We start from the raw sequence: 27242 nt of genomic DNA, 5'->3' as shown, positions 1-27242 counted from the left end.
TTTGTTCACTGATTCATAAACATCTAGAAGCTAGGAAAATGCCTAATTTTCTGAGAATGCAGTCCAGCAAGTCTCTGCCTCATTTTCCTAGCCCTCACTCAAAATGGAGTCGCTCTGGTTTGAACGCCTCTGACACTTATGTTGTCATATAAATCACTGCCTCCTTCTTTCTCTCTTCTGTTTCTGGAACTTCTGTAATGAATAATTGGACTACTCAATGATGACTCTTAAATACCTTAGACTCTATTCACTTCTTTTTTTTTTTTTTCCTTTTTGGTCCTTAGACTCACTACTTTTAAATAATCTTTTTTTTTGTTTGCTGCTTCTTTCCACTGCCTGCTAAAGTCTTCTGTTAAAGCTGTCTCATAAATTTTTCAATTCACTTACCATATTTTTCATCTCCAGAATTTCTTGTTGGTTCTTTTAAAATAATTTCTGTCTCTTTGTTGATATTCTCCTTTTGTTCATATATTATTTTCTTCACTTTTTAGTTATTTGTCTATGTTTTTCTTTAGATCCTTGAGCATAAGATAGTTGTTTAAAAGTCTTTGTCTAGTATTTCAAATGTCAATGTTTCTTCAGGGACAGTTTCTGCAGCTGTATTTTCTTCTTTGCTTGGGCCATGGCTTTCTTGTCTCTTTGAACACCTTGTAATTTGTTATTGTTATTGTTATTGTTATTGTTATTGTGGAAAATGGGGCATTTAGAAAAAAAGGCATTTCCTCTCCCAATGTTTGCAGACTGAGTCTGTGTAGGAAAAGCTCTTCAATAATTAGAAGGGCATGTTCTTTGACTTTAGATCAGCCTGGTCTGAAGGCTTTCATCTTCTGTGGTCTTTTATCAGACTTCATTTTCTCTGGGCCTGTGTGTGCTTTTATTTATTTTTTCCTTGTGTATACAGCCTTTTAGAAAATGTCTTAATTTCCCTAGGGGTCATAGCCCTGCTTCTTCTCAGAGTCAAGAATATTCTATTTTATTCCTCTATCTGTAATCTCATGCTCCAGGCATTTGCAGGTCTATCATGCATCTCACAGCAGCATTCACGAGCTATGTCTGTTGTCTCTCATTGGTTTTCATAGCCTGAGATCTGAGCTGTTCTGATCTTTGCTGTCTGACCTATGAGTTAGAAACAACAGAGACTAATCCAACATGGAGCTCCCAGACAGGTTAGAACATTTCAAATAAAGTCTGGTTTACCCTTCCAGTTCCAGGGAAGGAATTGGAAGCTCAGCTATCACTTTCCTAAGACCATTCTGTGCAGTTCCAGGGATGGGATGTGGCAAAGCCAAGTAAAAATGCCACACAATTTTCAACTGCTTTGGAAGTGGCTCCGTTTTGTTTGGATGTTCATGTGTTTTCTGTAAACCTTGAGCTGTTTTCCATAGTTCTTAAATGTCAGTTTAACCAATTTGTAGTTTTTTCTTTAATGTTTCCATGGGGGACAAAGTTCTAAAGTTTTCTAGTCTGCCATTTTTCTGACATCACTGAGATTAATTTTATGCCCCAGCATATGTTTTCTTCTAGGTAAATATTCTGTGTACATTTAAAAAAAATGTGTATCTGACAGTTGGTATTTGAAATTTTCTATACATGTCAATTAGGTCAAGTGGTAATGCTGGTCAAATCTTTTACACTCTTACTGAATTTTTGTCTTCTTGTTGTAGAAGTTTTTGATATAGGGGTATAAAAATGTCTGACTAGGCCAGGCGTGGTGGCTCATGCCTGTAATCCCAGCACTTTGGGTGGCTGAGGTAGGTGGATCACCTGAGGTCGGGAGTTCAAGACCAGCCCGGCCAACATAGTGAAACCCCATCTCTACCAAAAATACAAAAAATTAGCTGGGCGTGGTGGTGGGTGCCTGTAATCTCAGCTACTCAGGAGGCTGAGGCAAGAGAATCGCTTGAACCTGGGAGGCGGAGGTTGCAGTGAGGCGAGATTGCACCATTGCACTCCAGCCTGGGGAACAAGAGTGAAACTCAGTCTCAAAACAAACAAACAAACAAAAATCTAACTGTAATTGTGGAAAGAAAAATGTTTATTTTTCTTATAATCTTTATATTTTGCTTCATGTATATTGAATGTACATGACTTGTTATATAAACATTTAGGTTTTTTATTTCTCTTGACAAACTGACCCTTTTGTTATTTTGAAATGACTTTATCTCTAGTAATACCCATTCAACTGAAATTTACTTTGTGTGATACTACTATAGTCACTCCAGATTTCTTTGAGGTAGTGTTTATTATATATTTTTTCGTCTTTTTACTTGTGTTTTTCCATTTAAAGTATGTTTTTTTGGAGGCAGAATACTGTTAGCTTTTGCTTTCTTTGAATCTAATCTGTCAATATTAGAGTTTTTGGGCAATTGATACTAATGTGATTATTAATATGGTTAGATTTAAGTTTATTTTCTTAAAATGGTTTTTCATTTGTTCCCTCTGTGCTTTGTTACTTTTTCTCTTTTTTAGCCCTTTTTAAAGGATAATTGAGAATTTCTTTAAGAATTTCATCTTATCTCTTTGATTGGCTTATCAGCCTTTACTCTTTGTTGGCATATTTTAGTGGTTGGTTTAGGGTATGTAGCATATATTTTTAACTTTTCACAGTGTATATTCAAGTTATAGTATATTACTTCACATATAAAATTTTTGAATAGCATACTTCCATTTTTCTCCTCATAGGCATTGTGCCATCACTGCCATAAATTTGACTTCTACATGTGTTATAAACCTCATGCTATATTGTTATTACTGTTACTTAGACAATTATATTTTAAAAATACTTAAATAATAAGAAAAACATTCCAGAATTTTATTCATGTAGTTACCATGTCCAGTGTCCCACAGTCCTTTGTATGCATTTATATTTCCATCTAGTATCAGTTTTTCAATTTTCTTCTGCCTAAAAACTTTCTTTAACATTTATTGTAAAGTGGCTATGTTGGAGATGAATTATTTCAGGTTTTCTAAGTCTGAAAAATGTCTTTATTTTCATTTTTTAATGTTTTTTTCACTGCTTCTAGAATTTTAAGTAGAAATATTCTTACTTTAAGTACTTAAATAAAATTTCTAGTTATATCATACAATGATTAGATTTTTTAAAAATAGTTTTTCACATGTACTTTGAAGTTTTTAATTTCTGTTCGTACAATGCTGCCATTATAATGGCACTTAAATATCACTACAACCCAAGCATTTTTCTGAGTGTCCAGTACGTATCCATTCACTTAATGTTCACAGGAAGATTTGGAGGCATGCCCTGTTATTATCCCCACTTAAGAGGCCAAGAGAGTACTTGCCCAGAGTTGCTCAGTTAGTAAAACATGTTCCATAGGTGAATAAAACTTTGCCTTTGCAAACTTTAAATGTTGAAAGATAGGTTTAAAGGGTGATTATTGTTATTATTTTTTAACTTTTATTTTAGGTTCGGGGTACATGTGCTGATTTGTTAGGTAGATTACACATCATGGGGGTTTGGTGTACACATTATTTTGCCACCCAGGTAATAAGCACAGTACTAGATAGGTAGTTTCTCAGTTGTCACCGTCTTCCCTCCCTTTACCCTCAAGTAGGCCCCAGTGCCTGTTGTTCCCTTCTTTGTGTCCATATGTACTCAGTGTTTTGCTCCCACTCATAAGTGAGAACATGCGGCATTTGGTTTCCTGTTCCTGTGTTTGTTTGCTTCGTATAATGGCCTCCAGCTCCATCCATGTTGCTGCAAAGGACATGATCACGTTCTTTTTTATGGTTGTGTAGTATATTCTGTGGTGTATATGCACCACATTTTCTTTCTTTCTTTTTTTTTTTTTCGAGCGGGAGTCTTGCTCTGTCACCCGGGCTGGAGTGCAGTGGTGCGATCTCGGCTCACTGCAAACTCCGCCTCTGGGGTTCACGCCCTTCTCCTGCCTCAGCCTTCCGAGTAGCTGGGACTACAGGCGCCCACCACCACGCCTGGCTAATTTTTTGTATTTTAAATTGAGACGGGGTTTCACCGTGTTAGCCAGGATGGTCCCCATCTCCTGACCTCGTGATCCACCGGCCTCCACCTCCCAGAGTGCTGGGATTACAGGCGTGAGCCACCGCGCCGGGCCTATGCACCACATTTTCTTTATTCAGTCTACCATTGATGGGCATTTAGCTTGATCCCATGTCTTTGCTATTGTGAATAGTGCTGCAATGAACATACACATGCCTAGGTCTACCATTCTCATTACTGGGTAGAATAGTAATTCTGTTTTGAGTTCTTTGAGAAATCACCAAACTGCTTTTGACACTGACTGAACTAATTTACATGTCCACCAGTAGTGTCTAAGCATTCAAAATGGTGACTTTTTGTTTGTTTGTTTTTGAGAAAGTCTCACTCTGCTGCCCAGGCTGGAGTGCAGTGGTGCGATCTCGGCTCACTGCAACCCCTGCTTCCTGGGTTCAAGTGATTCTCATGCCCTAGCCTCCCAAGGAGCTGGGATTACAGGCATGCACCAACACGCCTGGCTAATTTTTGTATTTTTTGTGGAGAAGGGGTTTCACCATGTTGGCCAGTCTGGTCTCGAACTCCTAACCTCAAGTGATCCGCCTGCCTTGGCTTCCCAAAATGCCAGCATTACAGGCATGAGCCACTGCACGCAGCCTCAAAAGTGTGATTTTTTAAAGAGCAAATAAAATACATCAAAATTAACTTATATCTGAAAAAAAGAAACTTAATAGACCAGTACTTTGATATGTGATTCAACTAGAGCTTTCATAAAAAAACTTTAGGCTCCCTAAAATGGCTCTTTATTGGATTAGTACAATTGGCTGAATTTTTGTTTAAGGGTAAAATTTGCCCAAGAATGTAGGGCTTTAAAATTTATTTGCCGGCGGGGTGTGGAGGCTCACGCCTGTAATCCCAACACTTTGGGAGGCCGAGGTGGGCGGATCACGAGGTCAGGAGATCGAGAGCATCCTGGCTACGGTGAAACCCCGTCTCTACTAAAAATAAAAAAAAATTGGCCGGGCGCGGTGGTGGGCGCTTGTAGTCCCAGCTACTCTGGACGCTGAGGCAGGAGAATGGCGTGAACCCGGGAGGCGGAGCTTGCAGTGAGCTGAGATCGCACCACTGCACTCCAGCCTGGATGACAGAGCGAGACTCCGTCTCAAAAAAAAAATACACACACACACACACACACACACACACACACACACACACTCTCAGCCGGGCGTGGTGGCGGGCGCCTGTAGTCTCTCTCTCACACACACACACACACACACACACACACACACTCTCTTAGCCGGGCGTGGTGGCGGGCGCCCGTAGTCCCAGCTACTCGGCAGGCTGAGGCAGGAGAATGGCCTGAACCCGGGAGGCAGAGCTTGCAATGAGCCCAGATGGCGCCACTGCACTCCAGCCTGGGTGACAAAGCAAGCCTCCTTCTCAAAAAAAAAAAAATAAAGAACAAATCATATGAAACAAAAAAATAGCAGTTCTAACATGAATGTGAATCTGTATTTAATGGCAACTACACTTAGGTGTTTATGAGAGAATATTACAATTTCATAAATTTACATTGAACACTTAAGAAAAGAAACATATTGGCACAAAACTCTTTGAACCATGAAAAGTCCACTTTATTCAATATTTATGTGGAAATTATTCTGGCATAACTTCATTCTACACTGCTACAACAGGAAACTATAGGAACATAAGGACAAAATGCCAACATTTAACTGCAGCCTTTCCTGGGAAACATAATATGTTTAAATAGCCTTTAGAGACAAAGAAAAGTCTATTTAATTTATGGCATGAAAAGAAATGTGACAACAAAGCATTTTGTAGTCATGGTTATCAGTCTTTGAAAAAGTTCTTAATAGGATTTGGGTTTATTTTAATTAATGAAAATAAAATATGAATAATTTATTGAACTCAGTATATTATAGCAGTGGGAACTTCTCATAAATTATTCTCAGATAATTTTCACAAGCTAATCAAAAAAGACATAATTCTGTTTATTATGAAAAATGGGATCCAAGGTTTCGAGAGAACTTTCGTGTCTTGCTATTGTTTCTAAAGTCTCCCTCCAGACCATCTCATTTCTGAGTCACAGACTTTCCTAAATAACAAGTGCAGCCAAATATGTTATCACTTCAGGGTCATTTTTGTTTGTTTGTTTTCTCCCTTTCTCTCTCTCTTTTTTTGTATCCTTATACCCGGCAGCAGTTTCTTTGAAAATTTGGACCAGAAGGTGCATAACAAGTTGTTCTGCAGAAGTTCTTATCTGATATTCTTAGGGAGCTATCCTGCATGTAATCTTCATTTTTTTTTTCTCTACCATCATGTAGGCATACTCAGTGTAGACTACCACAATCCTGGATACCTCTCTGCTTAGATTTACAATCTCTGCTAAGATTTGCCACTGCAGAAAGTGTAGTAGTTTCACTACATATGAAAAAAAAGACTGCCTTCTAACTGCGTACTTATTTCTAGCTTCTAGATTGCACATTTACAGTGTTTGCAAAAGCAATAACTATTCTTACCGGTAGGAGATGAATTACACACTCCTTCTTCTTCTATAATAAGAGTTATCTACCTTCTGGTCAAAGTGCTTCCTTAAGGCACTTCGAAGCTCATCTGCTGGCAGGCATGAAGCATGCTGTTCCCCTGAGCCTTCACGAACTGGATCTACTCAAGACAAAACAGTCTCTGCTTCATTATATTCAGAAATTCAGGCTTGCCAAGAGGCTGTTTAGTGTTCTGAAACACAAATGCTGGCAAATCAAAAATTCTCCCAAACACGTATCTACCAATTTTTGCTCCGTAAATAGGAACAGTATTTTCTCATATCCTTAGATTAGCTGAGTTAAAAAGATGCCCCAAACATTGAGTCCCATTATTTTAAGCTTGAAGTTTTATAATTATAGCTTTATCCTTGCCCCATGAGAGACGCATTCTCTATCAAGCCATTCAAGCAAGGATCAGTTTTCAGTTTAGATAAAACTACAAAATGAATAAATTCACTTCTGACATTTAATTAATGCCTTTCTTTACTCTCTCCTACCCCTACACTCCACCCCTTATAGTACTTGCCTCCTCTCATTCTCCCCATCTCCAGCCCAAATCCAGATGACTTCTGCTATATTAAAGTTTGCTTTCAGGAAAAGATCTGAAATCCGTAAGCGGTTTCATACTAAATATTAGCACACTTCAATGGTAGAACATTGATTTGCTGAAGTCTGGGGTTGATTTCCTAGCCCCTAAAATCACATTCTAACTGTGACTACGTGTTCTTTCTATAAGTTTAACATAGATTTAGGGTGAGACTTATCTTTTTATATAAACGAAAATATTTGGGAGAATGCTTTCTTTGTTTCTTTCTTTTTTTTTTTTTTTTTTTTGAGACAGAGTCTTGCTCTTTCACCCAGGCTGGAGTGCAGTGGCGTGATCTCGGCTCACTACAAGCTCCGCCTCCGGGGTTCAAGCGATTCTCCTGCCTCAGCCTCCCAAGTAGCTGGGACTACAGGCACTCACTACTATATCCGGCTAATTTTTTGTATTTTTAGTGGAGATGAGGTTTCACCATGTTAACCAGGATGGTCTCGATTTCCCGACCTTGTGATCTGCCCACCTCGGCCTCCCAAAGTTCTGGGATTACAGGCATGAGCCACCGCACCCAGCCAAGAATGTTTCTTTCATACGTGAGCACATAGGGTATTTCATGTATTAGCATTAATGTTCCTTATCAAATATGCAATCAGGGGCTCTCTATAGAATCAATTTCAATAAAACAGTTAAGCAATTTTTTAATGGAGTAGGCATTGATTATAATTTTCTCCTCTTCTGACTTTTCAATTCTTCCCAATTAGCCAGTGATAAGAAACTGGAAAGAAAATTTCAAATTGTTTACCATTCACTTGTTTTTTTTAACCTACTGTAGTTTGGAAGGATTAAATTTTAGGCTAGCTGATTCATTTCACAAAAAAATTTATAAAATTTATAATTCATTTCACACAAAAAAAGTTTTAATAAAAAATATTTCCCTTTGTATTTGAGCTCAACTTAATTCTCAATTGGCCCTGAAATGTGAGAATTGTTTTCCTAAAATATTGATGGATGTCAGAAGGCCACAAGAAGTGAGACCTCATCTTTTTTGCTCTATGAGAACATCAATCTTTCTATTTCTGTGAAAAATAAGGAAAGGTAGGTGGACTCTGGTGATTTCCTGATGTTGAAGTTAATAAAAAGCTCCATTCAAAACTACGATATTCGGCACAATTAATCTTCCCTGTTAATATAAACAGAAGAAAGAGTAAACTGTTTGATCTCAAAGCTCTGGTTTAATTTCTAGCAAGTACGATTACTTCGGTTCATAATTTAAAAAATGAAAGCTTTAGATTTCTATTCCAAGCCATTACTTGATAAATCATTCATTAAAGAACATGAATGCACAAAACAAAAATAAACTTTTTTTTTAAAATTTGGTAAGTGTCAGTGTTCTAGGATGTGCTGGCCATTCTTTGTGGAGGTCCTCAGAACCACCCTCTACCCTTCCAGCCCCAGTGTCACCCTTCCTGCCCGAGTGTCACCCTTCCTGCCCGAGTGTCACCCTGCTCCCCTCCCAGCTGACTTCCAGTTGGTTTTGGCTAATGAGAGACACCCACAGAAACAGTAAGGTTTCAGAAGTCAGAGCTCAAAAAGTTTCTTCCCTACTCACTCCTGTTTCCAGGTTCTGACAAGAAATTCTTTTACTTCTATGACTGTGGCTCCTGCCAGACCTTTGTGTTCCCCGGCTGCTGCCTTCTGGGGATCTGGCAGCAACCGTTCCTCCCTCTGCGCCTCTGCTGTAGGTAGTAAAGGCTTTCTGCTAGTGCTTGTCTTTGGTTGCCACAACGTCACCTGGTGGGTCCCTTCACTTTTCTTTACAGCCTGTTCCTTTAAACTATCTGAGCAAATCATGCTTTCTTTCTGGGCCTTGACTAATGCAGTAGTGCATTTTAAAAATCTGACTAATATCACATTGCATTGCTTAGAAAAATATCATAAGAAAAATAATTCTTTGAGAAGTAGCATATTTGTGAAAGTAGATCTATTTAGGAATTAAAATGCTATTAGATTGGCAGGCAAATGTTATATTTTTGTATTCTCACTCTATTTTCTAGAACTGAAAACTAAGTTCTAGCTTAGACTGCAATGCACACGGTATACTACAAAGAGAGACGATAAAATTGCAGGATGAGAGTATAAAGTACAAGGTAAAACCTTATTGAAACAAAATAAGCACAACTCTATGTACAGGTTGTATGTGTTTATATATAAGAGCCAAGGCCGGGTGTGATGGCTCACGCCTGTAATCTCAAGACTTTGGGAGGCCAAGGCGGGTGGATCACTTGAGCTCAGGAAGTTCGAGACCAGCCTGGGCAACATGGAAAAACCTTGTCCCTACCAAAAATACAAAAACTTAGCCGGGTGTGGTGGCACTCACTTGTTCTCCCAGCTTCTCAGGAGGCTGAGGCACAAGAATTGCTTGAACCTGGGAGGCAGAGGTTGCAGTGAGCGAAGATCACACCACTACTGCACTCCAGTCTAGGCGACAGAGCGAGACTCTGTCTCAAAAAAAAAAAAAAGAAGAAGAAGAAGAGCCAAAACAAGGATACATAAGGATACATACCAGCCTGTCAGCCTGTTATGTATCATTGGTTACCTCAGTGGGGTTGGGGTGATGGTAGTGGCAATTATTAACATTTTCTTTATACAATTCTTTTAAAAATGTTCCTTTTGTAATTCAAAATATTCAAGAACAAATTTCAAAAGAGTCTGTCTTAACAAACATTTACATTCTTATAATCCAGAAGCTAGTCATCAAACACACCTCAGTATCATCATTTGTTCCAATATAAATATACTCACTTCCTAAATATGTGCTACTGCAAAGTAGATCTTATTCCTTTCTTATTCTGGTTGAATCATACAACCATTATCCAGATTGAAATAAAAAATATAATTGTATTTATTATCCATGTTAAGGTTAAATAGAAGGTAAGAAGTTTCAAAGTTTAAATTGCATTATCATGGAAAGTAGGGAAGAAAGGAAATAAAGCAGCAACCCATAAAACATTTATATTTGTGATATTCGATATTTTTTCTGGGACATCCAGTGTTCTAGTTACATCGGCCATCTCGAATTCATGCCTTCATTTGTTCAGTAAGTGTGTAGTGTGTGATGATTGTGACGGATGCTTCTCTACTAGGCAAAGTAATTTTTAGAGCCTCACTACTCTTAGTCTGCAAAGTTCATTGCCAGCATTATCACCACAGCAAGTGTCTATGCTGATTTAAATAATAACCATATAGCAGCAATTATAGCCACATAAAATGCATTTCAAGACACACATTTATGTCTAAGGACTTCAAGTCCCCTAACCAAACAACTTAAGTAGAATAAACCTAAATAAGTTTTAAGTCAAAAGCAGGGGAATCAAAACAATTACAAGCCTCCTGTCTTAGAAGAAAATGCTGATGCTTATTGGCTTAACCATATAAAATAGTGTATATACGTTTACTAGACATGAACAATTTGGAACAAATTTTGAGTGTACCTATAAGTGTGTAAAATGTATATTTTATGTATTGGGAATAATATTCATAAATATATTCCTCCAATGTTGTAAAAAATGCATGCACCCTCACTACGCTAGTGATTTTACAGTTTAATGAAGCCATTTTGTTTTAATTGCAAATGTCTACCACCGTAGAAGTTTCTTGGCTTTTCTCCATTAAGCCTAACACTTTGAACACCCAAGTTCACTTTTTTTTTTTTTGTCTTGAGACGGAGTCTGGCTCTGTCGCCAAGCTGGAGTGCAGGGCGCAATGTTGGCTTGCTGCAACCTCTGCCTCCCGGGTTCAAGAGATTCTCCTGCCTCAGCCTCCCGAGTAGCTGGGACTACAGGCAGGCACCACCACGCCCGGTTAATTTTTTGTATTTTAATAGAGACAGGGTTTCACCGTGTTGGCCAGGATGGGCTCCATCTCCTGACCTCTTGGCCTCCTCGGCCTCCCAAAGTGCTGAGATTACAGGCATGAGCCACCGCACCCGGCCAAGTTCACATTTTTAAAGACTCCATCTGATGCCTGACAAATTGGTATAATAATAGATTGACATTTGTTGTTTTACTCTAGGTCCAATTTAGAAGATGATTTCCATTTTCTCTCTTTCTGTCTCACTGAAGGCAACTGATCTGTCAATCAAAACTTTAGATTTATAAGATTTATAATTTTTTCTGTAATAAAAGACGTGCTATTTACAGAGTTCTTGTGCAAAAGTAGTTTAAGTGAACCCAATTAATAATTCAAGAATGACTTTGTAAGATTCTTCATCTATTACATTTGAATTCATTTTACATTTTACATTTTACATCTATTACATTTGAATTCATTTTAATGAAAAAGCCTTTCAAAGTTGTCTTTCCAAAGGGAAGATTAATACACTATTTCTTAGAGATACCATCTAAAAAAGTTAGTATCTTTCTTTCTTTTTTCTTTTTTGGAAACTCGCGGTGGTGGTAATGTGAGTGAGTTTGTCAATCTTTGCCCCTACTGTGAATTTGAGAAGCAGAGGAAGAGAAAAAGAGAAAGACCCCCCCGCCCCCTGCCTCCGCCCCTCCCTCTAGCACACAGCAGGCGCGCAAGGAGTGCAGTGTTAGCTGCTGCTGGACTGAGCTCCTCATCCTACACTTGCAGGGGTTGCTCTTTTGGACAGAAAGCTGGAATAAAACGTAAATTTTAGACATCCACCAAGGCCAGGACTAGGGTGAAGGGACTAACGCACTAGTCTCAGGAGCAACTGTTAAGTAACGCTAATCCTGAATGAATGAAATAGTTTTAAAATTGAATGTAATCGCAAAGAAAAAAAAAACCCATGATAGACAAAATATTAAAACTTTAAATAAAGGCTTGCACTCGCACAACCCAGGCTCACCGGCCTCTCCCTGCTCCTGGCCCGGTTTCCCAGCTTGGTTCTCTACAAGTCAGAATTCCTAGCAAAATCAAAGTGTGCGCGCGTCTGCCCGAGTACACGCCGCAGAGTTATTTCTGCCCCATCTTCCCTATTTGAACTCAAACAGGACAGGATTTTCCTGGGTGCAGCCCCTGCGTTGGGTGAACAGCGGAGTGATAAAGCCTGGCGTTCTCCACCTGCAGGCGGAGGCTGACGGCGCGGTCTTCGGAGCGAGTCCGTGCACCACGGCCGCCCCGCCCCGGTGGGAGAGAGGGACGGAGGAAGCTGCCGGTATAACGGGAGGAGAGCGCCAGGCGGAGCTGGGGCGTCCCTCCCGCTCGCTTCTTGACTCGCGTTGCTGCCGGCCGCCTCCCGCGCCTAGTGTCCGGGACGCGCCTGAACCTGCCGCCTCCGTGCCTGGGGCGGCGCCGCGCGGCCCCGAGCGCTCCAGAAAGCTGCGGTGCGAGTCCGCGGGGCCGACCTCGGAGACGCAGCTGGGGCCGGGCGCGGCTTGGCGGGAGGGTCTGCAGCGCCGAGGGAGGCTGCTAGTGCGTGAGGAAGAGAGCTAGAGACTGGACAGGGGAGACAGAGCAGCGTCAGAGCCGCGCAGGGGACGGGAGTGAGAGCAGGAGCGACGCAGAGCAGCCGTCGCCGTGCCCGGGTCTCAGGGCGCCTGGCTGAAGTGAGCATGGCTTCAGTGGCCTGGGCCGTCCTCAAGGTGCTGCTGCTTCTCCCCACTCAGACTTGGAGCCCCTTGGGAGCAGGAAATCCACATAAGTACAGCAAATGGTTTAAAACTTGCGCTAGGCTGTCTGGAAAACTTTGTTTTTTTTTTTTTTTTTTATTATCGGTAATATTTGGAAGTGGAATTGCAGAACATGCTCCTGAACATGAAGTACCTTAAAAAAATATTTGGAATTGCAACCCGAAAAAGACGATTTTGTTTACAATAGACTTTCCTCTTGTGGGGGAGTCTAAGATATACCATGCATGTTTTGAATTTTTAATCGATGTACTTGAATATTCATTGAGAAAGTGGACGTTTCTGTAAAACCTGAAAAGAGCATCTTAATAAGAGATTAGCCTGCAAATGCTGTCATTTATTCCTTTTTAGGATTGTAATATTTTGTAGGAATTAAGTCTAACAGGGAAAAAACTGGCAGACATTACATCATACTGCATCAACTTAGATGTTAGCAGCTTACAGTTTTGCCGACCTTGGCAGCTTCAGAGTTAAAATGCTAATTAACTTCCATGCAGTATAGGGACAGAGCGCCTGTAGGCGAAACTAAATTAATAACCTGCCCTAACTACTAAGGGAATAACACTTGAACACCCCTGTCAGGGGCTTCGTTTCTCATAGTAGAAAGTTCTTGCTTAAAGACAAAACTCAGCCAGTCATTTAGGTAATCTTGAAAATGATTCCTCTCTGGATGCTAATATTTTACATTATTTAATTTGCCATCAGGTTCCCTGTTTTTTATTTTCCTTAATTTGGTAAACACCTAGGAAGCCTTTATTTCTAGAATGGGCTATGATTCTAATGTAATGATGATATTCCAGACCGATGAGCAAAACATAATGTACCCATATTTTATCACACATAAAAATGTTTACACAACATTGCACATTTTTTTTTGGCTTGGAGTAAATCTCTATCAGAGAGCTTTCTTTCTTGATTAATCAAACCATGAGATTAGAATTTTTAAAATGTCTTCCTCTTCCTTCTCAAATCACTTTTATTTTTCTTTCAGTGGCATCTCCCCGCTGTCAGCCTCAGCCCTCTCCTACCAAAATCTCTTTCGAAATAAGTTCCAATAAACGCCAGTGGCCATGTTTGGAAATTTAGATTATTGCAGGATAACCAAGGGTAGCTTTCAGCAGTTCTCCTAAACTGTCATGAAAAGTTTGCCGTAGCTCAGTGCTGTTCTGCCCGCGGGCTCAAGGGTGGGTTGGTTCTTCACACACAGGGCACGCACATGGGTTCATGAACTCACTGTGCATCATGATTCAGTTGCGCCTCAGTTAATCCTACACTTGGTGTGCCCTTCCAAAAAACAAGCTCCGGATTCCTTTGGTCAGATGCTGTACCGTGTTTCAGATTCAACTTTAATCTGCTTTTGTGAGAAGCCTTTGTGAATAAAACGTTGTTACTTAAATCAAAATCCTTGGGTCTTGTAATGGAAACTGCCGTTTGGCTTAAATAAACATATAAATGAGTTACTTATAGAAAGGCATGCTAGAGTAATTGACCAATCAACTGGCAAAATACAACAACAAAAAAAGTCACTAGAGGTCACTCTTACTATTGAATAAACAGGGCTTCAAAAAGACCTTCCTGGAGAAAAGCAAAGCAATGAAATCTGAGTGAGACCCTGCCACCACCTTTCCTGTTTTTGTTGCATAGTTGTGATTACTTTTTATTCTCAGGATTAGTTGTATTGATAGTTATTTTGCTTGGAATCCAGTGGAAGGATTACAAAGCCCATAGAAATTAAGCTCTTCTCGTTTATAGTGAACATTCTTTTTGGAGGAGGGGAGGGCAGGGACAGATATTCCAAATGGACTCAGCACCAGACGGGACTCTCGCGAGTTGCTGAGTGACACGTAAAATTTCAATACTACTACTGTGGGTGTTTTCAGTCTTCTTTCGTTGATGAAACTTAGTATCCTCATATCTAATAAATTTTACTAATTTTAAATTACCTTTTAGATCAAGTAATTCTTCCAGATAAAACTATGTAACTGTAATAATTATACCACCTTCAATACCAAGAAGAAAGTCAATAAGGACATCTAAAAGTTTCCTTCTCATGTAGACACCATGAGTTGCTCACGTTATTCACAGCTGGTTTTCGAGAAGCACGTTGGCCACCCACGAAGGCAGCCTGTTGATGATGGCATGAAATGGCTCTTCATGGGAAGAGCTCTATAGGCCGGGCACAGTGGCTCGCGTCTGTAATCCCAGCACTTTGGGAGGCCGAGGTGGGTGGATCACCTGAGGTCAGGAGTTCGAGACCAGCTTGGCCACCATGGTGAAACCCTGTCTCTACTAAAAATACAAAAATTAGCCGGGCGTGGTGGCAGGCATCTGTAATTCCAGCTGCTCGGGAGGCTGAGGCAGGAGAATCGCTTGAACCTGGGAGATGGAGGTTGCAGTGAGCCGAGATCCCACCATAACACTCCAGCCTGGGCAACAAGAGCAAAACACAAAACTCCGTCTCAAAAAAAAAAAAAAAAAGCTCTCTAAACATTTGGCATTGTGGGGATTATGTGCAGTTTATCTGAATGTTATTTGACCCGACAAATACATGGAAAGCTTTGTTAGGAAGATTCTGCATGAAGGGAAATATTTTCCTAACTTCAGTGCCCATAGACTTGCAGTGAGTGAAAGGTCACTTACTGCTCTCATTGAGTCCCTGAAAACAGCAGGAAGCATCAAGAGAAAGATTGAACTCTGGGCACTGATCCCAGGGATACACAAACAAATGGCTGGGCAGATTTTGCAGAAATTCCTGTAATTGGTAAAATGCTGAGAATAGCCTTTGATGTAACTTTTCAGTGGGTTAATTTATTCATTACTTAGCCTAAAACACTTTTAATTTTAATTGCCTCAATTTTTTCCCCTAAATGGTTATGTTTTGCAAGTTCGCCAGCCAGCCTGGGGAAAGACGGGTAAGCCTACTATAGAGTGTGTGTGGGTTAGTTAGGAAACTCACTTAGATGTGAAATGTGTCAGGAAAGAGATCTCACAGAGTGTAGGAATAATTATTTTTACAGATGTTTCATTTTGGACCTTTTAGTAATACCATTTAAAGAGAGATTCTGCAGATGAGTAACAGACTCTTAATTTTAGTGTCAAATGGTACTCTATAAAAAATGGAGTTCAGGCCGGGCGCGGTGGCTCACACCTGTAATCCCAGCACTTTGGGAGGGTGAGGTGGGTGGATCACTTGAGGTCTGGAGTTTGAAACCAGCCTGGACAACACGGTGAAACCCCGTCTCTACTAAAAATATGAAAAAATTTCAGGGCATGGTGGCAGGTGCCTGTGAGGAGGCAGTGAGCTGAGATCGTGCCACTGCACTCCAGCCTGGGTGACAGAGTGACACTCTGTCTCAAAAAAATAACAAAAAAACCCCAAAAAATGTAGTTCAGTTGCCTTTATTCATTTTCACCAAACTCTACACAAACAGTACGGAGCATAAGTAGCCCATGGAAATGATAATCAATTCCAAGACATTGGTTTGGTCATGAAAAAAGAAAAATCAAATTACTTGGCATTCTTCTTCCTCTTCCTCTCCCCTTCTCTTTTTGAACAATTCAGTCCAAGGTCATTCAGTTCAGCTTAGGCATCCATGCTGGGTAGTGGGGAGGCCCAGGACCGTGGCAGAGCATTCAGAAACCAGCAGGGTAAGGAAAGCATCCACAGTGTAGCAAGGGTGGGGACCTGGAGAGACAGGAGACAGCACTGGTGGTGACCTATAGCAAGTTGTCAGAGGTTGAGTGGAGTGAGGAAAGAGGCATTGGAATGATTGACAGAGGCTAAGAAGACAAGGCAACTAAATACTATTCTGCATTAAATGCTTATGTTATAAAGGACATGATTGGAAATTGGTGAAACTTGAACAAGATTGGGGATTAAATATTGGAACTTTATCCATGATGACTGTGATGATCATATTATGGTTATATAGGAGAACATCTTTGTTGTAGGAAATGTACATTGAAGTATTCAGGGGTGATACAGCATATTAGCATAGTTCTTCCATGTTTTCTGTAAATTGGTTTCAAAATCAAATGGTTACTTTAAAAAACCATTCAAAATTGTGTTTAAAGGAAACATGGACCAATAGAAAAACTCAGAATAAGTAAATGTAGTTAAATTGATGCATTTTACCTAAGAGATGTAGATTAAAAATAAAGAGGCTGAAAAAAAACAATTATGAGAAATAACAGTTCGTTTATGTATGTCTCTAAATCAAATTAGCCTGGATTTCTGAATGACAAAGATGTAATTGGCACTGGGATTGTTCCCCATTCTTTTTGGGACGTTTATTGCCTAGGACATCTGTATCAGTCTTCGAAGTACTTTTTAAAGCTTGAATATCTGAATGAACCCGTCAGACTGACTGTTATCTGGTCTTCTGTAATGGGCTTCCGCACCTTTGACGAGACTCTTAGCTGAAAGGTTGCTTGTCCCTAGGCCCGGTTGCTCCACGTTGTAAGAGCATTTGCAAACGCTTGGTTTTACATGATTGTGCACATGTCAAGTCTGCTCTGTCACTGTAGAAAAAATATTCCTTTTCCACTTGACATATAAAGCATGGAATTGTTTGTTTTAAATGTCTTTTGTCAAGGATTTCATATATCTGCTTGACGTGTTGTGGTACTGTATAAAAGACAAGTGTGAAATTCATTGCTTACTATGATAGCCTTAACACGACTACAGTAAATCTAGTTTTCTAAAAAACGGAGTATATGCTTAGCTTGGTTAAAATTTTATAATGAAATGACTACTCTGGTAATAAATATTAAAAAATATCATAAAGTGGGGGCTAAAAAATGATACTGCATGTGTTCCAGTTAATGAACATTTTTGTTGTAATAATACGAAGAGTGATTGAAATCTGAAAACATTTGAGATTTTAAAATAGTTTTAACCTTGTAACTACAGGATTGTAATTTAAGTAGCATACCTACTTAATAAGGCAGCAATTAAAATTATTGCTAAGAATTAAATTACCAAGAAGACATGGTCTAGTATGTATTGCCTGGGCTGTGGTTTGAATTACTTTTGATTAAGTATAATCACATTTTTTGAGAGTATAAAAACAGAGGATATTACTTGCTTCTAATTCACAGATGTGTTTATGAACCATTGGCAATTACAGCATTTGCAATTGAGGGCCTAAGAAAATTTTAGGTTAAAATAACATGTTGAGTTATGCCTTATAACTCAGTATATGCTTATACTTTATATGCTTTATGGAGTTTTGAATATATAATATATATGTATAATAGTATATTTTTCCAGGAAATATATAACTTGTAGTTCCTTGACTTATTTTGTAACTAAATCCCATGGAAAAAAGTTTATTGAATGTCATTGTTTCTCAGGCAAATGTAGAGTTAAGAAAATGATATATATATACATATTGGGAATCTTTTAGAAGGCTTGGACTTGGTAGCTCAAATCTTCTACAACCTTGAGCTTCAACTTTCTGGCCGGTTCAAGAGATCTCTTCACTGTCCTTTTCATGTAAAGTCAATGTTTATGGAACACTAGACCAAAATGGAAGGATTCCTTTGGAAACTGAACAAACAGTTGAATTAGTCTTTGACTTGATGGAGTGATTTGATCTAAAATATTACCTAACCGTTTTAGATATCTGTTCAATCAGAGCTGCCTCCATATATGCAAATGATAATTTGTCTTGGATTTTTAGATATCTTAGCCCTCAGACAAGCTAATAGAGTTTAAATTGAACCTGGTGTTTTAGGGACAGTTGAATTGTTGGGATGCCCAGGAAAACAGTCACATTTTTCTACAAGTATGTGTTTATTTGGCTGGAATGTGGGTGAGGAAGAAGTTATATGTGAATTAAAAGAAAGATTGTCTCAATGTCACATGTTAAATTAAATTACAGGCAGAACTAAGCGAGTTTACGATTGCTGCCGCTGGGAGCAGAGACTATTTTCAGCTTACATTTATAACAGAAGGAGGGATTTAAAATATAGTATTATGCCTACCCTGATACAGCTAACCTCCTCCACCCGCCCCTCCATGCACATACAGCTACATGCTTACCCTCGAACTATGAAAGAAGGGTGTCTCTCAGACATCCTATATTTAACCCAGCTTTGGACACGTCCCTGGAGTCTAGTCTTTTTGAACACAGCAGTGAAGATAAGGAATGGGGAGGGGGCTTTGATTTCAAGACCACTAGATATAGTAGATTCCTAATTTAATTTCAAAGACAAATCAATTATTAACACAAATACAAAGAGAACAGTATTTTAAGCAAAGCTTCTGTTGTGGCAGATAAACTTTTAAGGTGTCTCCCAGTTGGGTTTCTATTTTAGATGACTTTTTGAAGAATATATCTCTGTAATAGAAATATGTTTGATGATTCTCATCTTTAAGAACTTCACATTTGCTATAATTAAGATATTTATGAATTTATTGTAAGAAGGTTGGTAGAAAAAGTAATGCAACATCAAATGGGAAAATAAATATATAATATTATATAGCTGTTCAAATATAGGGTTTATGATTCTTGAGCTAATTTGAACTGCTGTACAACACCAGGAGAAAAGTCCACAGCTGTGTTAAGAAAGCTCTTATAAGCTTATGAAATTTTATAGCACAGGCTGTCACAGAACCTACAATTTACAAACATTTGTAAAAGTTAGGAAAGTTTTGGGTTCCTCAATAGAAAATGATGTTGCTTAGCTTTAAGAAAGTAACTAATTTATCTCTTTTTATTCTTGTCCACTAACAAAGGAACCCAAATGGTCTTTTAAAATTATAATAAAACTAAGCTAGTAAAATATCACATAGATTTTGAGATACTGTGAATAACCATAGAAAATAACAATTTGTTGTTCTTCATGTATAAAAATAAGCTTAACATGCTTATCAATACATCTTGAACTATAAGAGATTTATTTCAGCAGTGTTGCCAAAGGGCAAGCAATGCCTGCTGCCTGTAGAAAACTTTGAATTCCCTAAGCTCAGGGCTCCTCACTTGTCATGTAACCCACTGCGTGTGCACACATCCATCTGTGCCCATCCATATTCCCCCAGAGGACTTGGAGGCAAGGGAATTGATGCAAATATGCTGATGCTCATATTGTTTGCTATGCTGTAAGTAATACAGTCCTTTGCTTTGACCCAGGAGTCTTCTGCCGCAACGATGAAACAAACTGGCAGACTCATTTGTTAGCTTGCAAGTAGGGTAAAATCTCTCCTCACGGTTCTCATGATCCGCCCGCCTTGGCCTCCCAAAGTGCTGGGTTTACAGGCGTGAGCCACCGCGCCCAGCCCTGCTTTGTATTTTTAAAGGGTTATAACAAGAAGGACATGCAACAGAGACCAGGTGTGACCCACAAAACCAAAAGTGTTTACTATCTGCGTTTTACAGAAAACCTTTGCAGACTCCTGACTTAGACAAATGCCTTATGATTTTATTCTGAATTAATATGACTCTTTCTACAAACAGTTGTCTTTAAATAAAAAGATTTTACAATTATTGTGTTTTCTTTAACTAGAGTGTGTACTTTCATCCTTTTCCTTACTTTTCAAACTTAGAGTTCCATTATTAGGTTATATATTGTAACTCAAGAGGGTGGGAGTAAGTTCAAGACACTACTTTCCTATATGCTTGGACTGGTGTGGAGTAATACTGCTTACGTCAAAGTCAGGCACTCACCACTGCTTCTTATAAGTACTGTTCTTGTTTCACAAAACAAGCCCACATAGTAAAGGGAAGTGATGTCATAAGCATTGTCATTTGTAATTTAGGTGAAATTAGCTGACGATTGTAGTGAAACTTTTAATATTTAACTTCTACTATTGGAAATAAATGTCTATTTTATCTCTTTCTATTCATAGAACATTCTGGACTGCAAATTTTTATCCTTATGTACCCTAACAGTGTGTTATGTCCTGTTACTTTTTGTGTTGTTGTTAACATTAGAATTTAATCTTTAGTTATATATTTGACTAAAGTACCTAATACCAAAGAAAGTGTTACTAGAAAAGCAAATCTAGGTATTTCCACCCAGTCAGTATAAAAAAATACGTTTTTAAATACTCCCAAATATACATACATCGCAACACACAAAAACACCTATAGGGTAGATATTTAACATATTTTAGATAAATGGTAGTACACAATTATATTTTCAGGTAGCATTTTTCACACTTCACAGCATATCCTAAATAAAATTTGGGCTATGATTTCATTTATTTTAATTTAACCTCCACTTTAATTTTTTTCACTTATACTACATAATGCTAAAATGCATGCTTATTTCTTAGATGAGATTTCACAAAAGAAGCCAAACCTCTTTTCACTTGGTTGGGAAATAATTCCTGTTATAGGAATTTTAGATCTGAATTTTCCCCCGTAATTTCTTATTCTGAATTCCAGGTATTATCTTAAATTTGATCAGTTCTAACCTTGCCCCTTCTCACCTCTCTAATGAATGGTGAAGCTCATCGCATCATACCGATGTCCATAAACAAGCGGGAGCAGCAGTCTTCATATAGTAAATACTGTGGAATAGTTTTGTCATAGTTGTTGCTTTTGTCCTATTTTTGTCTTCATATTCAGGCTGCCTGGGCAACAGCTCTGGCTCTGGATGTAAAAGCCCCCTGGGAGGGTTTCAGGGCTGCCTAAGGCTCATCACCATTGGTGACAAAGCGGTGGATCCCATCTTAGTACAGCAGGGGGCGCTGGGGAGTTTCAGGGACCTCCAGATAGACTCCTGCGGCATCACAGACAGGTAAGGGCCATCCTAGGTCACTTTAGCTTGCCTGTTTTCAAAGTTGAAGAAAGCAAATGTAGACAGCTGGAAAAAGGCATTCCGTTCTCTTTTTTGTTGTTGTTATCTTTCGAGAGGGAATGAAATAGTCATAATTACTATGAGGATTAGAAAACTTCATCTTGGCCGGGCGTGGTGGCTCACACCTGTAATGCGGCTGAGGCTGGCGGATCACGAGATCAGGAGATCAACTTCATCCTGGCTAACATGGTGAAACCCCGTCTCTACTAAAAATACAGAAAAAAAAAATTAGCCAGGCGTGGTGGCAGGCGCCTGTAGTCCCAGCTACTGGGGAGGCTGAGGCAGGAGAATGGCATGAACCCGGGAGGTGGAGCTTGCAGTGAGCAGAGATCGCGCCACTGCACTCCAGCCTGGGTGACAGAGCGAGACTCCGTCTCAAAACAAAAGCAAAAACTGCATCTCTAATGGAATAAATAGCATTTTTTAAATGATAGTATTTTATTAGAAGATATACACCTTATGAATTTTACCTTAATATGATCCCGAGTTGCTCAGCTAATAGTTATAAAGCTCGCTTTTGCAACCACACACCCATCAGTTGGATGATATTTTTCCAGGCAGAGGAATTTGCCAGGTTACTATTCATCAGCCACCCAACCCCACATGTTCTGCAGAGAAAATAAAAAGTAATTTCTGCTAGAAAAGTTTGAATCATAAAGACGGATGAAGATGTGTGCAGAAGGACATACTCAATGAAATATGGAGGTTAGACAAGAAAAACATTTAATTCAAATAAGTATTACAACCACAGTTATGCTAGTTGTGCCATAATTTTACAAAGATTTTGGCTGAGAAGAATCGTAGGGTCACACCTGGAAAAATAATATTTCTACATACAATTTGCCCCAGTACATTTGGTATTTACTTTCAGTGAATAAATAAATGCTACAGATTTAAAAATTAAAAAGCGATAATCTGGCCCAGCGCGGTGGCTCACGCCTGTAATCCCAGCACTTTGGGAGGCCGAGGCGGGCGGATCACGAGGTCAGGAGATCGAGACCATCCTGGCTAACATGGTGAAACCCCGTCTCTACTAAAAATGCAAAAAATTAGCCAGGCATGGTGGCGGGCGCCTGTAGTTCCAGCTACTCGGCACGCTGAGGCAGGAGAATGGCGTGAACCCGGGAGGCGGAGCTTGCAGTGAATGAGATCGTGCCACTGCACTCCAGCCTGGGCAACAGAGCCAGACTCTTCTCAAAAAAAAAAAAAAAAAAAAAGTTATATCTGCATCTGGTAGAACTTTCAAAACCTGCCTTCTTCATGGAGTAAATTCAGTTAGTCAATTCTGTTTTAAACATTAACTGTAAAATTATCCTCTCTGGCTAAACAGGTTTTAATTTATAACTCACAGTTAGTGACATACTAAAAAAACGCAATTACTACTAAATGAAAAGTTCATTCATATGGACTTTATTTATTCAGCATGGAATAATTTCCCCCTGTGAACATTCTGTTGATTTGTAGGAAAAATGAATTAATTCAAAGATGAGGAGTATATGAAGTGTAAGAATTTGTCAAGTACCTCTCATTCTTGACCTTGAGATTTGAATTCTTGGCACACAGCTGGGACTGCATTTACATCTCAACACCAGCTCCAGAACCCCACTCTGTAGTCGTGGGAAGGGTAGTTGGGAAGGTTTCTGGCCATTTGCTCACTTAATATAATCCCAAGTTGCTCAGCTAACTAGCCAGGGAGCTCAGCTCTCTCTGAGTTAAGGGGTAATGTCCCATGGGCCCACACTGTGAGTGACAACAGCTGTCAGCTCAACTGTGATGCAAGTGTGATTTTCTTCACTTGTATGACATTATTTTGATACCTTGTTAATTACTCACAAAATATGATCCATTTGCAGTGTTTCTGTTATGAGATATATATTGTGAGGCTGCCTCTTTTCAGAGATGATCCATGTTGCCTGCTTTGTGCATGTAGCTCCCAAAGTACAAAACTATTGTTTTTACTGTTATAGGCTGTTTTGTTTTAACCTTAAAGTCCCAAGAGTTACATTGGTGCCTAACTTGGTATCTAAGATCCCACATTTTAAAAAGCCCTCCAAATTGTACCCCAAAGTTACTTGTAAACATGCTCAACTAAGCATGTATGTGTGAGCCACACTTAAACTTCAGCCATGATGTGTACAATAATCATTGCAGATAAGGATTTTAAGAAAGCACTTTTAAATCATTTTCAAATAGGGCTACAAATAAAGGCTATTTACTATTTCATTCCCAAATTCAGTAACGTAGAAGACTAGCTCCTCTGAGATTATTTTGAAAACCTGAATTTTATAAAGCAATAAAATTAGAAAACTTTGGGGACACAAAATGACATCCTACAGAGTTAAAATTAAAGACCTTTGCTGTTCCCTTTACATAAAGTTTTCAAAACCTGAAAATACTGAAAATTCACTTTTAAGTATCCTGAAAACAGGCCTGTAAGCATCTATCAGCCTTTCTTTGTTGTTGTTAACAAACAAACAAACAAACAAACAAAAATCTAATTGTATTAGTCTGTTCTCATGCTGCTAATAAAGATATACCCAAGACTGGGTAATTATAAAGAAAAAAGGCTTAATGGATTCACAGTTCCACATGGCTGGGGAGGCCTCACAATGATAGCAGAAGGTGAAGGAGAAACAAGACACGTCTTATATGGCAGCACGCAAGAGAACCTGTGCAGGGAAACTCCCCTTTATAAAACCATCAGATCTCGTGAGACTTATTCACTATCATGAGAAAAGCCTGAGAAAGATCTGCCCGCATGATTCAGTTACCTCCCACAGGTTCCCTCCCATGACACGGTGGGAATTATGAGAACTACAATTTAAGATGAGATTTGGGTGGGGACACAGCCAAACCATATCACTAACTCACAAAGTAGAAACATATGTTACTCAAATACCAGACCTAAAAATCCTACTTAGGGACAGATAAGGGGTATGAAGTTATCTTTTTTAGTCAAAATTTTAAGCTACGCAAAAAATAGCAATGGGCACTTTGGATGACAGAGTCACAAATAATGGATGTTTATGTTTGGATAGGTGTTTGTTTGTTTGTTTTTTTGAGACAGAGTCTCGCTCTATCGCCCAGGCTGGAGTGCAGTGGCACGATCTCGGCTCACTGCAAGCTCCGCCTCCTGGGTTCATGCCAATCTCGTGCCTCGGCCTCCCGAGTAGCTGGAACTACAGGCGCCCGCCACCACACCTGGCTAATTTTTTGTATTTTTAGTAAAGACGGGGTTTCACCGTGTTAGCCAGGATGGTCTCGATCTCCTGACCTCGTGATCCACCCGCGTCAGCCTCCCAAAGTGCTGGGATTACAGGCGTGAGCCACCACACCCGGCCAGGATAGGTTTTAACTTCTTAATCACCTCTTACATCAAATTCCTATACTGTTTTAAGGTTTGCCCTGTATACCACATGGCAGAGCTTCCAGTGGAGTCCTGTGCTGCGTTCCAACTGGGGCTCCCTGAGCAGGGAGGCCTCCGTCACCTCCTCACCTGGCTGTGCTGACCAGGCTTCTGACCCCACTCCTGCCCTCCCTCTGCCATCTTCCCCTCTGTTGGTCTTCTGCATGCTAGCTACTTCCTCTATTATTTGTAATACATGTAAATTTTTCACAATTGATGTTGTGTTTAGTTGAAGAAAAATAGTGTATACATGTTGATAGTCTCTAGATCACTTAAATAGTTCTTATTTCCAAATATTTTGAACTAAAGTTATTCTCTCCCTGTTGATATCAAACAGCAGTGGTTTTTAATGTTTTTTAAAATTTGTGGAATCTTCAAGTCAGGTATGATCTTAAGATGCTCCATTATATTAAGAAGGAAGGGGAGGAGAGGGAGAAGGATGTGGGGGAAGAGGAACAGCTGCTCTTTTAAAAATGGTATGAGGGTGGGCCCCCACCCCAGCCAACCTTGCCTGTCGCTCCAGCTCCCCCTCTTCTGATCAGTTCACACAGGCTTTTCCATGCCTTGGCCTTTGAAATACTTGAAAAGTTGTGATTCTCATGGCCCCTAACTCTTCTCTGAATGCAGACTAAATGCTCATTAACACCATGTAATTATGGAAGTCTTGGCCCTGAGCTGGTGGTGCAGTGCTGGAGAGCCAGGATAGGGGGCTGGGGGCATGGGGAGGGTAGGGAATGCTGCGGATTCTTCCCAGCCCCTCAGGTTCCCCTCAAAGGATCTCTCCCGAGGCCAAATACAGGCCCCTGGGGCTTTCTGTCAACTTCATACCCCAGTTCTCTGCTGGTCGTCCTTCCACCACAGCCAGGAGGCCTGTCACAACCTCCCGGCCCCTCTTCTGTTACTTCTCTGGGTCCCATGGTGAGGGGCACTGGGGTGCTCCCCGCCTCTGCCACTCCAGCATGGACTATGATGTCCCTCACGGCCTGGAAGGTCAGTGTCCTTTAGAATCTTCACTCTTTACCAGGTCCTTAGCTGTGTACTCAGCAGTGGGAGACAGCGGCCAGAGGCTGAGATCCAACCCTGCTCAAGGCAGAGGTGGGTCATGGTATTCAGGCCAGGCCTCCAGAAGGTCACACTACCTCTTGGTGACACTCTGTGTCAGGTGCTGGTCAGTTTCCATAGTGTACCCTGCTCCCTGTTCCCCTAACAATCCTGAGAGGCAGGCATGCTAGGCCCCCAATATTATAGTGGGCGGCAGCAGATTCCAAGAATTCTGAAAGTGTGAGACCTCCAACTGTTCTTTTTCAACATTGGCTGGTTCAGGGTCCCTTGAGGTTCCCTATGAATTTTAGGATGGATTTTTGTTTTCTGCAAAAAAAGGCATTGGGATTTTAATAAGAATTGTATTGAATTTGTAGATTGCTTTGGGTCATATTGACATATTACCAGTGTTAAGATTGCTTAAAAAGCAATAACCGACTGCTTATTGCAAATCTAAAAGGTGACAAGATGACCTAAATTAAATGTTCTTCAAAATTTCTGAACCTCTGTCACTATGTGACTGAAGCTGTTCCTGTTTCTTTCTTCTCCCCTCTGTATCTTCCTCCCTGTTTCCCCTTCTTTCTTTTAAAAATGACCACAATATAGTAACGGAGCATGCCATATTTCATAGTTTTATGTATGTAATTGGTTTTGCTAGCCACATGTCAAGTTATTGTGTCACTTGGGACAAAGAAAAAAAGAAATGTGTTGAAAATTCAGCTGTCTCAGAAACCTAATAATCAGCTGCATGCTAATGGATATATTTATCTAAAGTTTGTCAATATAATTAGAGAACCTTGATGGCAGACCCAGTAATCACGTCATGTGGGGTTATCTTGCGTATGCTGCTCTTTCACATTAACCTGTTTTTGGTTAACCTGTTTTTGGTAAGACACTTATTTTTTGATGATTGAAAAAGGGAAACAGCAGTTGTATCTGTTTTCTTTTAGGTGCTTGCCCAGCTACTGTGAGCATGGGGGCGAGTGTTCCCAGTCGTGGGACACCTTCTCCTGTGATTGTCTGGGCACAGGCTATACGGGCGAGACCTGCCATTCCTGTAAGCCTCACACCTCCCTCTCGTTTCTGTCAGCATCTCTTTGTCATTTCATTTTGATTAGTTGTTTATATGTATCTGCATATTTGCAATCATGCAAACACATCAGAAGAGATATTTCAGCATTCAATTTCTAGTTTACTTTTAATCCACCTTATTTAATACAAGGGTGTTGAGACAGTGCACAGAAATACGTGGTACACATAG

The 27242-nt window shown here is 39.8% G+C and overlaps 1 pseudogene; it reads left to right on the top strand.

Annotated features, from left to right (window-relative positions):
- CNTNAP3P4 (CNTNAP3 pseudogene 4) lies at positions 21301–27038 on the top strand (annotated as a pseudogene).

The sequence above is a fragment of the Homo sapiens genome, chromosome 9 (genome assembly GCF_000001405.40).
Source record: "Homo sapiens chromosome 9, GRCh38.p14 Primary Assembly".
Classification (NCBI taxonomy): domain Eukaryota; kingdom Metazoa; phylum Chordata; class Mammalia; order Primates; family Hominidae; genus Homo; species Homo sapiens.
This window is presented reverse-complemented; position numbering and strand designations above follow the sequence as displayed.